At 39.8% G+C, this 17,007-nt stretch overlaps 1 protein-coding gene across 6 annotated transcripts; it reads left to right on the top strand.

The window, feature by feature from the left end:
• DNAJC19 (DnaJ heat shock protein family (Hsp40) member C19) lies at window positions 10,586–16,715 on the top strand. 6 transcript variants are annotated; one of them, NM_001190233.2, is made up of 6 exons: window positions 10,586–11,092; window positions 12,195–12,246; window positions 12,328–12,401; window positions 13,402–13,481; window positions 14,428–14,498; window positions 15,714–16,715. In NM_001190233.2, the coding sequence occupies exons 3-6, from the start codon at window positions 12,348–12,350 to the stop codon at window positions 15,782–15,784; spliced, it is 276 nt and encodes a 91-aa protein (NP_001177162.1). In that variant the 5' UTR covers window positions 10,586–11,092; window positions 12,195–12,246; window positions 12,328–12,347; the 3' UTR covers window positions 15,785–16,715. The 6 variants fall into 6 exon arrangements, 2 of the variants coding, with proteins under 2 accessions (NP_001177162.1, NP_660304.1); NR_033723.1 differs by having other exon boundaries at window positions 10,650–10,824; window positions 13,402–13,426; NM_145261.4 differs by having other exon boundaries at window positions 10,688–10,824.

The following is a 17,007-nucleotide window of genomic DNA, read 5'->3' as shown; positions in this document are numbered from 1 at the left end:
TTAGAAAACCTCATCATCTGCCAGGCATGGTGGCTTACGCCTGTAATCCCAGCACTTTGGGAGGCTGAGGCAGGCGGATCATGAGGTCAGGAGATCGAGACCATCCTGGTTAACACGGTGAAACCCCAACTCTACTAAAAATACAAAAAATTAGCCAGGCGAGGTGGGGGTCGCCCGTAGTCCCAGCTACTCAGGAGGCTGAGGCAGGAGAATGGTGTGAACCCAGGAGGTGGAGCTTGCAGTGAGCCGATACTGAGCCACTGAACTCCAGCCTGGGTGACAGAGAGAGACTCTGTCTCAAAAAGAAAAAAAAAGAAAAAGAAAAGAAAACCCCATCATCTCAGCCCAAAATCTCCTTAAGCTGATAAGCAACTTCAGCAAAGTCTCAGGATACAAAATCAATGTGCAAAAATCACAAGCATTCCTACACACCCATAATAGACAAACAGAGAGCCAAATCATGAGTGAACTCCCATTCACAATAGCTACAAAGAGAATAAAATACCTAGAAATACAACTTGCAAGGGATGTGAAGGACCTCTTCAAGGAGAACTACAAACCACTGCTCAAGGAAATAAGAGAGGACACAAACAAATGGAAAAACATTCCATGCTCATGGATTGGAACAATCAATATCTTGAAAATGGCCATACTGCCCAAAGTAATTTATAGATTCAATGCCATGCCCATCAAGCTACCATTGACTTTCTTCACAGAATTAGAAAAAACTACTTTAAATTTCATATTGAACCAAAAAAGAGCCTGTATAGCCACGACAATCCTAAGCAAAAAGAACAAACCTGGAGGTATCATACTATCTGATTTCAAACTATACTACAAGGCTACAGTAACAAAAACAGCATGGAACTGGTACCAAAACAGATATAAAGACCAATGGAACAGAACAGAGGCCTCGGAAATAACACCACACATCTACAACCATCTAATCTTTGACAAACCTGACAAAAACAAGCAAGGGGGAAAGGATTCCCTATTTAATAAATGGTGTTGGGAAAACTGGCTAGCCATATGTAGAAAGCTGAAACTGGACCCCTTCTTTACACCTTATACAAAAATTAACATATGATGAATTAAAGACTTAAATGTACAACCTAAAACCATAAAAACCCTAGAAGAAAACCTAGGCAATACCATTCAGGACACAGGCATGGGCAAAGACTTCATGACTAAAACACCGAAAGCAATGGTAACAAAAGCCAAAATTGACAAATGGGATGTAATTAAACTAAAGAGCTTCTGCACAGCAAAAGAAACTATCATCAGAGTGAACAGGCAACCTACAGCATGGGAGAAAACTTTTGCAATCTATTCATCTGACAAAGGGCTAATATCCAGAATCTACAAAGATCTTAAGCAAATTTACAAGAAAAAACAAACAACCCCATCAAAAAGTGGGCAAAGGATATAAACAGCCACTTCTCAAAAGAAGACATTTATGCAGCCAACAAACATGAAAAAAAGCTCATCATCACTGGTCATTAGAGAAATGCAAACCAAAACCACAACAAGATACCATCTCATGCCAGTTAGAATGGCGATCATTAAAAAGTAAGGAAACAACAAATGCTGGAGAGGATGTGTAGAAATAGGAATGCTTTTATACCGTTGGTGGGAGTGTAAATTAGTTCAACCATTGTGGAAGACGGTGTGGTGTTTCCTCAAGGATCTAGAACCAGAAATACCATTTGACCCAGCAATCCCATTACTGGGTATATACCCAAAGGATTATAAATCATTCTACTATAAAGACACATGCACACGTATGTTTATTGCAGCACTGTTCACAATAGCAAAGACTTGGAACCAAACCAAATGCCCATCAATGATAGACTGGATAAAGAAAATGTGGCACATATATACCATGGAATGCTATACAGCCATAAAAAAGGATGAGTTCATGTCCTTTGCGGGGACATGGATGAAACTAGAAACCATAATTCTCTGCAAACTAACACGGGAACAGAAAACCAAACACCGCATATTGTCACTCATAAGTGGGAGTTGAACAATGAGAACACATGAACACAAGGAGGGGAACATCACACACCAGGGCCTGTCGGGGGGGGTGGAGGGCTAGAGGAGGGATAGCATTAGGAGAAATACCTAATGTAGATGATGGGTTGATGGGTGCAGCAAACCACCATGGCATGTGTATACTTATGTAACAAACCTGCACATTCTGCACATGTTTCCCAGAACTTAAAGTATAAAAAAAATTTTTTTTTTTAAAGAACTAAAGGCCAGGCACGGTGGCTCACGGCTGTAATCCCAGCACTTCGGGAGGCCAAGGCAGGTGGATCATGAGGTCAGGAGATTAAGACCATCCTGGCTAACACGGTGAAATCCCGTCTCTACTAAAAATACAAAAACAAAATTATCTGGGCATGGTGGCGGGCGCCTGTAGTCCCAGCTACTCAGGAGGCTGAGGTGAGAGAATGGCATGAACCCGGGAGGCAGAGCTTGCAGTGAGCCGAGATTGCACCACTGCACTCAGGTCTGGGCAACAGAGCGAGACTCCATCTCATAAAAAAAAAAAAAAAAAAAAAAAAAAAAAAATTAACCTAAAAAAAAGAAGAAGTATATGTGACATGCTTTCTTTCAAGGATCTTCAGTCTAATAGAGAAAACACTTCTATACCAATAATTTCTATACATTATATAGAAACTGGCAGTATGACACAAACAAAATTGTACAGGAGTTTGGAGAAAGGAGAGATCACTCTAGACCATGGTTTGGCAAGCTATGCTCCATAAGCCAAATTCATCCTGTGGTCTGTTTTTGAATGATCTACAAGCTAAGGATCATTTTAATATTTTCATCTAAAAAGAAGAAAGAATACAGAGATTATATGCAGGCTGCACAGCCTAACATATTTACTATATGTTCCTTTACATAAAGTTTGTAGACACCTGTTCCCGACTTGAGTGAACAAAGAAAGCTTTGCAGAAGGCACATTTGATCTGGACATTTAATTGAGGGACAGAGATGGGATTTGGGAAGGGCACTTGGAAAAGCAGGAGTGACTTGGCTAAAAGCCCAGGGGGCAGTGGACTTCAGAGCACATTTGAAGAATAGTGGTGACAAATCCCATTTGACAAGGCTATGAGGTTTATGAAGGGGAGAAGTGGAAGAGAAGTCTGGAAAGACTGTCTGTGGTGCCGGGCTAAAGAAGTTTGCTATGCATGTAGTAACTGAGGGCATAATAGGTGCCAGAAAGAATTTTATGGAGTTTTTGCAAAGCCCTCTAATGATGACAGTGAAGATGATTTTTCATAGTAGAATATTATAGAAGCACAATTTTTATGACAATTAGACAGGGATGTATCCCATGCTTTATTCTGGCCACCAAATAACGTATAACAGTGATGTATATTCTCTTAACTTCAGCCTAAGTCAAAGTGAAACTCCTAAATTTGTGCTTAAAGTTGCTTTATTATTGCTCATCTCCTCAACCATCTAGCCCCCTGAAAATGTGATTTCAAATGGGATTTCAGACAGACCCTCCAGTGTAGCTTTGTTTCCCATGACACTGTGTTATTAATGCATGACACTATATTATTAATAATATTCACCAACAAGTCTCAGACCAGCTATTTCATCCTCATTTAGTAGCAATCTCCAGCAATCAAATAATTGTGCTTGTCTGTCTGGCCCAGGCACAAGATGCACTTACATAGATTGTTCTGTTGGTCAGTTCCATTCGCTGACAGCTCAGCAGGGAGAGCTCAATTTATTTAACACATAAAGCTGCTGCATATAATTGGAACCCAGGCTAAGGAAGGAGAAAAAAAGACTGAGGAAGGCAATGGGCAAAGGCATGCTAAGATGGAATGAAATGGAGGGTCAGTTGAGGAATCTCCATTTTGGAATGGCACTTAAGCTAACTCAATTTTCAAGTTTTCTCTGAAATCCACAGTGTCTCAATTTTCTTTCCTCGCTGCTTGAGAAAAGAGCAAAGCCTTTATCCTGAAATATATGTTTCCTGGATGCTGTCATTCTGATCAAACACATTGCAGTTCTCTCACTGGTCCACCACCCACATGCTCTAGACTTACACACACACACACACACACACACACACACACACACGTCTTTGTAATTAGAAAGGAAAGTAGGAACCCAGTCTAAAACAGATGCAGGCTGGGCATGGTGGCTCATGCCTGTAATACCAACACTTTGGGAGGCCAAGGTCCAAGGATCACTTGAGGCTAAGAGTTCCAGACCAACCTGGACAACATAGTAAGACACCATCACTACAAAAAAAAATTTTTTTAATTAGCTGTGTGTGGGGGCACACACCTATAGTCCCTGCTACTCAGCAGGTTAAGGCAGGAGGATTCCTTGAGCCCAGGAGTTCGAGGCTGCAGTAAGCTATGATTGTACCACTGCATTCCAGCCTGGGTGATACAAGGCTAAGTCTCAAAAAATAATACAATAAAATAAAACAGATGCAGTGAGAGAAAAATGAAGCAAATTGAGAAAAGGGGTGAGAAAATCACAGGAGAAACAGTTATAAATTATTTTATAATATCCACAGGGCAGAGCAAGGTCACCTGACTTGGATGCAGATGAGGCCAGCTGGAAGAAAAAGTGATTGGACCATGGGTGTTCCCTTCTGGCTTCCCAGCATCCCCTCTTCTTTCCCAGTGTCTTGGGTCCTCACATCATTCCTACTTGGGCCTGTCCTCAACCTCTCTTGCTCTAAATATCTTCTCCTTCCTTCCTTTCTTTTTTTGCACTCCAATTAAAATCTTCCTTTGACTAGTTATTAATACCAAAATGATCTCTTAAAACACTTCATAGAGGAGTCTGTTGATCATATCTCAGTCTGATCATTCACCAAGAATTTCACATTCAGACAGGAGACATAAGATGAATTCCTAATGGTAGTGTAAACCAAAAGGTATCTGAGACACATCTCAATCAATTTAGAAGTTATTTTGCTAAGGTTAAGGACATGCCTGGAAGAAATAAACACAGAATCACAGAAACAGTCTGTGGTCTACGCTGTCCTTCAAAGATAATTTTGAGAGCTTCAATATTTAAAGGAGAAACATGGGCTGGAGGGGAAAGAGGGAAAATATGGTAATCCACATGTTGCAAGAGAAAAAGGGCAGGCAAGAGAATAGTCAATGATGCATTTGTCTCATGCTCAGTTAACCAACACTTTGCAGAAGATAAGGTGAACATAGAGGAGCTACCTATGGAGATATTTAACCTTGTATCTGTAGCTATCTGCTTAGGAACAAAAGGAAAGTCAGCTTTTTGCATTAGTCAGCTTTCAGCTTCATTTTTTTTTCTTTTGGAGTAGTGAATTGGGGTCCCATATTTTTATTTTCTTTTCACAGTAGATTGTCAGGAGATGGCAGGATCATTGAAAGAAAGGAGAGAAGAAGAGACAAAAATGGGTGGAACAAAGAAGAAGGGAAAGGAAGCGAGTATCTACCAAGCGCCACTGAATTTTAGGCAAAGGGCTTTTCCATACAGCATTATGTGAACAGCTGCCTACACAAGATAGATCCCCTGGGTTTAAATAGCTACTAATGAGGAATTCAGATGTCACTAATCCAGATCTCGAATAATCCCTAGAAAGAGTGGTAAGAAAACATAGGCAAAGACAATTCTAGGACCAACTCATTTTATGACCCTAACATTATACATATCTAGAAAGTGAACAGAAAGGCAAACAATTACTGGACTCTGTCAGGGCTTTGGAAAAGTCTGTCAACCAATCTGAGGCCCAGTTTCCTCATTTATAAAATAAAGCTTCTGGGGGAAATATGGTCTCTACATTTTCTTCTCATTCTTAAATTACATAATTCAATGAATTTTTCCAAATTTTCTCCTCTATAAGATCATTCCTATTCCTATAGTAGCTAAAAATGCTTTTCTTTCTCTTTTTTTTTTTTTTGAGACAGAGTCTCCCTCTGTTGCAAGGCTGGAGTGCAGTGGTACAATCTCGGCTCACTGCAACCTCCGCCTCCCTGGTTCAAGCGATTCTCCTGCCTCAGCCTCCTGAGTAGCTGGGACTACAGGCACATGCCACCACGCCCAGATAATTTTTGTATTTTTAGTAGGGTTGGGGTTTCACCGTGTTAGCCAGGACGGTCTCAATCTCCTGACCTCGTGATCCGCCCGCCTCGGCCTCCCAAAGTGCTGGGATTACAGGTGTGAGCCACTGTGCCCGGCCAAAAGAGATTTCTTATAATCCATATCTCCACTCTCTATCCTCCCATCCTCTTTTGAACTCACTCCAATCAGACTTTCATTCCCATCACACCACAGAAATTCTCATGAATATGATCTCCGATAGTCAATTCTCAATTCTTTATTATTTGACTACTAGCAACATTTGTTTGTTTGCTTGTTTTGCTTTTTGGTTTCCAAAGGCTCTCCCTCAGAAGAATATTAGCAGCATTTGACACAGTTAATCACTCCTTCCTCCATTGAACACTTTCTTCACTTGGCTACCAAGACACCACACTTACCTGGTTTATGCCTACCCTTTTTCAGTCTATTAAATAATTTTCTCTTTTTTTCCTCATGTCCCCAGATTCCAAACACAGGTGTATCCCAAAACACAGTTCTTATTCCTCTTCTTTCTGTCTCCACTCATGCAAAGATGACTTTACCTGTTCCATGGGCTGATGACTCCCAAACCTCTCTTTTGACACCAGAGTTGTATGTCCAACTGCCTATTGGACAGCACTACTTGGATATCTCATTGGCATTTCAAACTTAACATGGCAAAAGCCTTCCACTTCCTGCTTGCTCTTCCTGAAGTTTTTCTAGTTCCATTCAGCGGCAAATCCATCCTTCCAGCTGCTAAAGCCTCAAGCTTTGGAGTCACTCTTGACTTTTCTTTCTCTCACACACTATACCTCATCCATCAGCAAATTTTTTCAGCTATACCTTAAATATATAAGCAGGAGTCCAGCCACTTCACTCTACCACCACTGCTACTATCATTTTTCATTTGAATTATTGCAACGGCCTCTTATTAAAGTCATCATCAAACTGGGCTCAGTGGCTCATGCCTGTAGTCCCAGTAACTTGGGAAGCTAAGAAGGGAGGATCACTTGATGCCAGGAGTTAGAGGCTGCAGTGAGCCATGATCATGCCACTGCACTTCAGCCTGGGGAACAGAGCAAGACTTTGACTCAAAAAAAAAAAATAGCATAAAAATAATAGTCACTATTCATGTTGGAAACAGATGGTACACTGCCTTAGTCTGGGCCGCTATAACAAAATACCATAAACTGGCAGCTTATAAAAACAGAAATTTGTTTCTCAGCGTTCTGGAAAGCTGGGAAGTTTGAGTGAGGTCCTAACTGATTTGGTGTCTGATGAGGGCCCATTTCTTCATAGACAGCCATCTTTTCACCCTTAAGTCCAAGACAAAGGCAGCATGTGTGTCTGGTAAGGGCCCTTTCTGTTTCACAGACAGTTCCTTCTCACTGTGTTCTCACAGGGTGGAAGGGGTGAGGGTCTCTCTCGTGCCTCTTTATGAAGGCGCTAATCTGATTCACAAGGGCTCTACCATTATGATCTAATCACTTCCCAAAGGCCCCATCTCCTTATACCATCGCATTGGTTATTAGCTTTGAACATATTAATTTGGGGGAAGACAAACATTCACACCACGGCCAAATGGAGAGTTTAATAAGAGGACTGTTTACAAAGATGTGGACAGGATTAAGGGAAACTGGCACAAAATGTTCCAGTGCCCTGTGCCTAGCAAGCAGGGGCCAGTAGCAAAGGCATGACTATACTTAAATGTGAAGGAGCAACAGGAAGGAGTAATGACCAGAACACTTGCACACAACAGGAGCTGTATTCTTCAGCAGACCAATTCAGTCAGCTTACAACAATCACCAGAAAGTGAGAGGTAGAAATAAAAACCATGAATTCACTTTCCTCCTGCCTTCTGATCTCCTGATCACAGACCTAAATGAACCCTAAGCCAGAAAACGAGAGAGCTGCTCATGGATACAGTTCATTAAGGTCACCCTCCTAACCTTTCTGTTCCTCTGGAGCACAGAGCAGGAAAAAAAGGTAGAGAGAGGATCTGGGGAAAAGCAAAATACATCCAGCAATATAGCAAAGCAATATAGCAATATAGTGAAGTAAATGTTACTTTCACAGGGTGAAATGAAACAATCTATGTAAAGCATTTAGTACAATGTCTGGCGTATGGCTTTTAGTTGGTGGGGGAACCCCTTATTTGCCTGGCATTATAGTTCCAAGTGTGGATTTTTGCAGTGATAATTTCCAAACTTTAGGTGATGATCAATTAGTGGGCTGTGAGTTTAGTAGGTTTTCTAGCACTTATTTTTTTAAGAAACAGAAAAGACCAGCATGCATTTCATGAAGTAAGGATAAGTATTATCTCATAAATAAATCTACTATGTATATCTGTGCGTGCAAGTATGTATTTGCTCCTTGGGTCACAGTGTAAAATATATTTCTTACTAAGGATGACAGTCAAAAAATGTTTGAAAGCCACAGTGCAAGAACACTCTTAGCTACCGCTCTCAACTCTCACTTATTTCTTCCCAAGGAGAAGTGACTTACCTGATTTAAAAATTTGGGATGAGAAACTAAGAAGATGTGCTTGAGTCCTTTCTCATTCTTTTGTCCCTACCCCCTCTTTTGTCTTTTATTACTTTCTATAGTAAACTAAATAATGTGTTCCAAAGATTTCAGGTCCTAATACTTGGAACCTGTGAATGTTACCTTATATGGCAAAGTGTTGGAAACTATGATTAAGTTAAGGATCTTAAGAAGGGGAGATTATCCTGGATTATCTGGGTAGCTGGTAAATGCAATTACATATATCCTTTAAGAGGAAACCAGAAGGAGATTTTACAAACAGAAGAGAAGGACAATGTGAAGATGGAAAAGTTGGAGCAGAGTGAGATTTCAAGATGCTGGCTTACAAGACTGCAGTGATTCAGTCACAAGTCAAGGAATGCTGGCAGTCACCAGAAGCTAGAAGAAATGAGGAATGATTATCCATTCATCAGTCAGTGGACATTTAAAAAGATTACTTTTCAAGGCTGTTTCTAGGATCTTGGCAGGTAGGTAAGAGGCAACCAGACTTAAGATTCATGAGTGAGGTATCATGAGAATGAGGAAGGCTTCTACACTCCAATTTGCACTCTGGCTTCCCTCATAATAATAGCCCCACACTGAGTGATGACCATAAGCAGAACACAATATGTGCATAATCTCTACGTTCACAAAAACTCGGCAAGGTAGTTATCATTACCTTCATTTTACAAATGAGGAAGAAACTCAATCAGAAATAACTTTTCCAAGTCACAGTATTAGTAAGTGACAGAGCCAGGTTACCTCCAGTTTGATCTGCCACCAAAAAAAGAGCTATCTCCAGCTCAACAAAATGTCTTGCTGTGTTGCTACTCCCAATTTCCTGAGTCTGGGTTTTGTAAAGTCTCAAAGCTAATTAGAGTCTACTGTAAATCTATTCCTCCAGAAACTGCATTACACAGTTTGTACATACCAAAAATATGCATAATAAATTTTTCCAGATAGCATTCTAGCTTGTTGATGCCAATTTGGTCCCAAGGTCTTATGCCTCACTTGATTATTTATTTTGTAATTGTTGGGTAAAAACCAGATAAAAGAGAGGCAAAAGAGGAAGTTATAAACTTAATGCTAGTGTCTTAGTGCTGGATGTCACCTTAAATCATGTGTTGACAATAAATTACATCACAAAAACCTTAGCGCTAGAAGAGCTCTTGGATTATCAAATGCAAACTGCTTTTACAGATGAGGAAAACAAACCCAAAAATTTTGCATATTTGTTTAATAACTAACAAACTCATCAAAGCAGAATTGCATTGCAATGTAAACGGATATTTAACACTGTAAATTCTGAGTGGGAAGTAACTCCAAACTTATTTTGATCATGCAAACGTTGCATTGTAAAATTCCATTATTGTCTCCATTATTTTTTTCTTCTCAAGCATTTATGTAGGGATGTATGAAACTGATGTCCACGTAAGGGCAAAATCCAGCCCTACTTTTTATTTTGGGTGAGGAGGAAAACTTTTAAATAGCCCTTTTCAGTTGTAGGATCTTGACATTCCATGTTCAGAATATGAACTGTCTTTAATCCCATTCTACAAAACGAAAACCCAAATATTCACAAAGTCTTGTCAAGTCACATCCTTAAATGAAGTTCTTTTACATTAAAAAATGCTACCGAGCAATCCCTGAAACACAGTGTGGTTGGTTTCATTTGTTTTTCTGGGCATCTCGTTTCCTACACTGGGTTACAACATATTTGTTTGGGTTCGTGGTGGAAATGTCACAGCATGTTTAACTACATTCATTACCCTTGACAATTATTAACATAAAATAAAGGCAAAACGAGGTGCTAAGATGTAGGGGGAAAAAATCGGTCTGAGTAAGGCTGCCCATGCCCTTCCCTGCAAGAATTTCCAAATACCCACCGCCCAGGAGCAAAGGACAGAAAACACAGAGAAGCCCCACCCCTACACCCAGAAATAAAGAGATCCGCCCACCCTTCAACCAACCCGAAGTCGCTTTCTCCGCTCTGTCCACTGCTTGAGCGACTTTCCTTCTCCTCCGCGTCCCCTTTTACGACAGTTTTCCGGCCTAGTTTGCGGCTGCTCCTGCCGTGTTGCGTAGGGCGCCTGTGCTTGAGGTTGGGGGTTGCGTCGCTCTCTGGTAAAGGCGTGCAGGTGTTGGCCGCGGCCTCTGAGCTGGGATGAGCCGTGCTCCCGGTGGAAGCAAGGGAGCCCAGCCGGAGCCATGGTGAGTGCGGCCTTCCGGTCTTCTTGGCGACCTCCGGCCCAGGCCTCAACCTCAGCTCCCCGCCTCGGAGGTGTGGAGTTGAAGTTGTGCTCCTTAGTGCGACTGCGGGCGGGAGGTTTCGGTTATTGGGGAGTCACACTCACCAGGACACAACCCTGTTGGCTCGCTCTCTTGGGGGTTTGTGTTTTTACATCGTCTTTCTGCACGGTTCTCCAGCTTCTTGTCCGCACGGGCTCTGCAGGTGTTGCTTGCCTGGAACTCCTGTAAGGTCAGAGGCTGTCATGGACTCGGAGATTAGTGGAAACGTATTTGATTATAAGTGCCCTTGCCCTAACACATCTTCACAGCACTAGCTCCACTTTGCTATGTCCTTCTCTTTGGCTTTTGCTGACAGATGTCTTCTCCATGCTTCCTGAACATATTTGGGCCTGTCTTGTTAGGAAACAACAGGGCAGTGCCAAAGGTATTAGTCTCCTAGTTTAGCCCACGTTTAGCCTCGAAAATGCGTTGTTAGAATTTTACAGGAGCCGTCTGTAAACAGTTTTTCCTTCTGTAGCAGAAACCTTATTTCCACATTTTTTTTTTTTTTTTTGAGACAGAGTCTTGCTCGGTCGCCTAGGCTGGAGTGCAGTGGCACAATCTTGGCTCACTACAAGCTCCGCCTCCCGGGTTCGCCATTCTCCTGCCTCAGCCTCCCAAGTAGCTGGGATTACAGGCGCCCACCACCACGCCCAGCTAATTTTTTTTTTTTTTGTATTTTTAGTAGAGACGGGGTTTCACCATGGTAGCCAGGATGGTCTCGATCTCCCGACCTAGTGATACGCCCGCCTCGCCTCCCAAAATGCTGGAATTACAGGCGTGAGCCACCGCGCCTGGCCTATTTCCACTACTTTTGATTGAACTTTAATGTGACTTAATTTGTCTGGTGATGAAAGAAGTTTTCAAAGGGAGGGAATCATCTTTTTCACTATTGTAAAGATAAATAAGCAAGTCGAACTTGCCCTCTTTCCCATATGATGAATCCTGTAACTTTAATGCATTCAGCATAACAGATGCAGTAGTTTTAAAGATTACTGGACAGAATATTTCCGCCTTAAAAGTTGTTTCTCTGCCAGGCATGGTGGCTTATGCCTATAATCTTAGCACTTTGGGAGGCCAAGGTGGGAGGATTGCTTGAGGCCAGGAGTTCAAGACCAGCCTAAGCAACATAGCAAGACTCCGTCTCTTAAAAAAAAAAAAAAAAAAAGAAAAAAAAAAGTTGTTTCTCCTATTAAAATGCAGTTTGTAATGAGTTGGGGATGGAAGAATGGGCAAAATGAGAAAGGGTGGGAATTAGAGAAGTAAATATTTACTCTTCTCCCCCTTACCAGGCCAGTACAGTGGTAGCAGTTGGACTGACCATTGCTGCTGCAGGATTTGCAGGTTTGTTTATGGTTTGGGGATGGAAGTGAAGTCGGGGAGATTGGAGATTTAGTTTACTTATTCTGTTGCTTTTGGTTTTAGGCCGTTACGTTTTGCAAGCCATGAAGCATATGGAGCCTCAAGTAAAACAAGTTTTTCAAAGCCTACCAAAATCTGTAAGACTTTGTTAATTCTTTGCTGCTTCTATTTGAAACCTAGAGCCACACTTAGGGAAGGGTAAATTTCCAAATATCCATGAAGTTCTAAGTGATTGCTTTGGACCCATTCTCCTGCTTCCTGCAAGGAGAGTATAGAAGTTCTGAACTTTGTGATGGTGCTACCCTGAAACATCAGATGTTATATGTGACAGAGTTGGATGGGGTTTTGACAATTCTAGTACCCCACTAGACCCAAGTTTCACTTTTTCACATACCATCACCTTCAGCATCATCTGTACATATTCTTGTTTTCCTTCATCTGCTCTGCATCGCACACACAGAGGTATATGATTCTAAAGTGATCCGATCTGACCATGTGGCCCTGGCACTCCCAAACATCATACATAGGTAGCACTCTAGTTAATTAGGCTATAGGGTTTGGCTTGATGTTATGGTCATACTCTCTGTGGTCACAGTTAAGAATAGATTTGGCTGTGATCACCTGTTGAATATGTTGTGATTAAGTGTAACAGAATAGAGTGATTGTAGGCTTTACCAATATGATTTCTGACATGGCAAGGTCAGAGGACCTAATAGTGGTATTTTCTGTATATATATCTTAAAGTCTTGTTTCAAATACACTTGAACCTCTTGTCTCAAAAGACTTCTGTTCTTGAGCCACTTCTTGCAGATTTTTATCTAGAATATGGCTAATTTGGAATGATCTTTCCTTTACTCCCGGAAGACCTGGCTTTCAGACACTGTTATTTTGTCTTATATTTCTAAGATAGTTCATATTGACTGGAAAAAAATGAATCTGTTTAATGATCATTAAAATACTACTTGTTGCTACTTATTTATAAACTTTATTCAGCTTTAGCTAAAATACCTCGGGAATTGCACTAAAAGTCCTCTGAAATGTCTTAGTTTTTCTTAGTTCTGTGAATATTTCCAGACGTCTTTTTTAAAGCAACTTTATTTTATTAACCTTTCTTTACAAATGCATTTCTTCTTTCAGGCCTTCAGTGGTGGCTATTATAGAGGTGGGTTTGAACCCAAAATGACAAAACGGGAAGCAGCATTAATACTAGGTGTAAGGTAAAATAATCTCTAATATTTTTAGCATTTTTCTACCACTGTAGAGCCATGAGGAAATATAAGAAAGACCTTCTCTCCTTTAATAGGAGAGGGTCATGGGGGATTTTGTCCTAGGAAGATTGATATTACCAATTCTAATCAATGAAACTGTACTGTTCCTTCATGTTATTTTTAAGATGTAAACAATCCTTCAAATGAGAAGGCACACTAGCACTTAAGCACTTTTTCTTTTTTCCTAGAGTGTTTACTAAAACACAGGCACTTTTTCATTTATTTAAAGATAGACTCCTCAGCAGATTATCACAGTGTTCAGTGTTGTTCTCTGTAACTGACATTTTTTTTGTGGTGAAATTCTGCCTTCAACCGGGCGCGGTGACTCACGTCTGTAATCCCAGCACTTTGGGAGGCCAAGGCCAGTGGATTACTTGAGGTCAGGAGTTCAAGACCAGCCTGGCAAACATGGTGAAACCCCGTCTCTACTTAAAATACAAAAATTAGCCAGGCGTAATGGCACACACCTGTAATCCCAGCTACTCGGAAGGCTGAGGCAGGAGAATCGCTTGAACCCGGGAGGCCGAGGTTGCAGTGAACCAAGATCAAGCCACTGCACTCCAGCCTAGGGGACAGAGTGAGACTATCTCAAAAAAAAAAAAAAACAAAACTCTTCCTTCTTCATTTTCAAATCCTTAAACATGCGTTTCTTATCAATAAAAGGACTGTTGTAATGGGTACTGCAAGTTCAACACATTTTTGAGAGTGCCTTACTTTTCTAAGTAGTTTCCCAATTTAGGATACGCATTGGGTGTGTTGAGGTTTCTAAACAGCTTTTCATACTGTTGTGTTAATTTACTACAGTTTCACAGTGTCTTTAATTGGCCTTTATGTACAGTTTTTTGATGTGATGCAGAAGTAGGATGAAGTAAATACCATTTCTTTTTTTAATTAGCCCTACTGCCAATAAAGGGAAAATAAGAGATGCTCATCGACGAATTATGCTTTTAAATCATCCTGACAAAGGTAAGTAGTCATTAAATTCTCGTTGATGTTGTTGGTGTGACCAATAGTTATTAATGGGATAATTTTATCTCAAATTCCTGGCTATTAGAAAGGTAACACTTAAATCTGTAAGTCCTGTCTCCTAGGCTGGAGCCATATATTTTTGGTGTCTTAAAAGAAATTAAGTGAAAACTTTACTTACAGAATGAGCAGATGTAAGTGCTACTATTACTATGTTTTGTGGGTTTTTCTGGCCTACATTTATTATAATTAAAACGTTAAATTTCGTAAAACTAAAATGTAATTTTTCCTTATCCATTTTAGATACCTTGAAACGGAGATTACCTAGATAGAAACTTATGGGATTTATTTATTCGTTTGTGATAGACTTCTATGCAGCCTTGGCTGTGTTGAAGGAAAGCAAGAATTTCTTTGAATACCAAAAAATAGACCACAGAATTCATGTTCTAGTGTTTGTATCCTTTTACTTATACAGGAGAGGGCTTTCATTAATAAAAAGGGTTTTGACATTTTAAACAGGGTTATAATTGTTTGATATCTACTTCACAGTATCTTTTATGAAATTTAGCTTGTTTTATATGGAGGGCTTCTGACTCAGTAGGTCGGCAGTGGAGCCCCATAAATATGCATTTATACTAAATTTCCTGTTATTTCTTGCTGGTCTTAGGACCATACTTTGAGAATCACTCCTCCAGCAGATTCGTAGGAAAGCAGCTGTAGATGACATTGTGAAGGGACAGTAGATAACAGGAAAAGAAAAACTGGACAGAAAAAGGATGTAAAGCAAACTGGGATCTTTCCAGTAAACAGCTCAGAAGCCTCTGAGAATATCATGGTATTAAAATAACATGGTATAATTGATGTTCATTTATGACCTGTAATCATGAATAGGCTAACACCAGTTCAAAGGCATATACATATATATCTAATATATATGATAGAAATCCTATTTCTATCAGTTTAAGCTTTCTAAAAAGGTGTTATTTTTGTAGAAATATCTCCCACGTAAATTACTTCATTTCTCATTGGTCACATATATTACCATATATTTGGTCATCCAGTTGCAGTGTCAGGGTTATTTTTTAAAAATTAAAACACTGTTTCTGCTAAATCTCCCTCAGATAAGCATTGGAGTCCTTGAAACAAGAGTAGCTTTTTACCAAGCAGAAATTGAGAATCCATATTGTAACTGTTCTTTTTTCTTTCTTCCTATAGGAGGATCTCCTTATATAGCAGCCAAAATCAATGAAGCTAAAGATTTACTAGAAGGTCAAGCTAAAAAATGAAGTAAATGTATGATGAATTTTAAGTTCGTATTAGTTTATGTATATGAGTACTAAGTTTTTATAATAAAATGCCTCAGAGCTACAATTTTAAAAAATGATTTAGCACAAGCTAAATCTCAAAGCCTTGGTATAATTTTCTTGTTTAAATTTGGGGATTTTAAATCAGATTATAGTTTAGAATATTTGCGTATTAATTATGGGCAAGCACACACCTTCTGAATAGAAATATTGTTCATTACTCATTTAGCAGATAATTTGGGACCTATGTCTACTTTTCAAGGCAAAGTGAAGATGACAGTCCTTGCTCTCAGGGAGCCCCCACTTTAATGGGAGACTGATAAACTGGTAATTAGACTGTGATAAATAGTATGATGGAAATTAGCTTAAGCTGTTTAAGTAGGGACTCTTCTTATTCGGTGGAAAGGCTGTTCCAGGTACAGGCAACTGGCCTGGCAACTTGGATACTTGGAACCTTGTATTTAAAAGTGAATTTAACCACAACTGAGACCTAAGAAATTGACCTAGGGGTGTGTGTGTGTGTGTATTCTATGTACATATAAACCATTTTTATTTCATGCATTAAAAATAGTATGATAAAGATTTCAGAGTACAGGTCTGGTACAATCACAGTTCATTGCAGCCTCAACCTCCTGGGTTTAAGCAGTCCTCCCGCCTCAGCCTCCCAAAGTACTGGGATTACAGGCATGAGTATTTACATTGTATTCAGCTAGCCCCTTAAAGGTAATGACCATTTATAAATTATTCCTTCAGTTGGCTATTTCTTGACATAATCAAACTTCTGCAATTGTTATGATTAAGCTTAAACCCTGTTAGCAAAACTGAAAACTGAAATGTTCTCAATATCAACATATTTAATTTGGACTCTTTAGAATTTATACACTAATAAATTTAAATGATGTTTAAAGGCAAATTACTTACTGTTTGTCTAACATAAAATATATAAGGATCTTAAGAGGACCTGTATAAAACATCTGGTATAAACTAGTATGTATTTCTCAACAGGAGTATTTCTTATGTGTAGCTCTAAGATGATAAATTATACTACCTACCGTCTAAACTTCCTTAAGTCATCATAAGTTTCTTAATTATTGGAGGATACAAGGACTTTTGAGGTTAAAAAAATAGTGGAGGTAATATTTATCTGCCTTATAAAGTAAAGGTATATCTGCTCTTTGTGTTTTCTATCCAATACCCTCGTTTAA

This window comes from Homo sapiens, chromosome 3, assembly GCF_000001405.40.
Source record: "Homo sapiens chromosome 3, GRCh38.p14 Primary Assembly".
NCBI classification, from domain to species: domain Eukaryota; kingdom Metazoa; phylum Chordata; class Mammalia; order Primates; family Hominidae; genus Homo; species Homo sapiens.
This window is presented reverse-complemented; position numbering and strand designations above follow the sequence as displayed.

Bases quoted from the DNA above. Each gene is read 5' to 3' on its own strand.
- DNAJC19 (NM_145261.4), top strand. The intron at 13,482-14,427 runs GTAAAATAATCT...TTTTTTAATTAG, and splicing joins GCATTAATACTAGGTGTAAG to CCCTACTGCCAATAAAGGGA. The intron at 14,499-15,713 runs GTAAGTAGTCAT...TTCTTCCTATAG, and splicing joins TTTAAATCATCCTGACAAAG to GAGGATCTCCTTATATAGCA.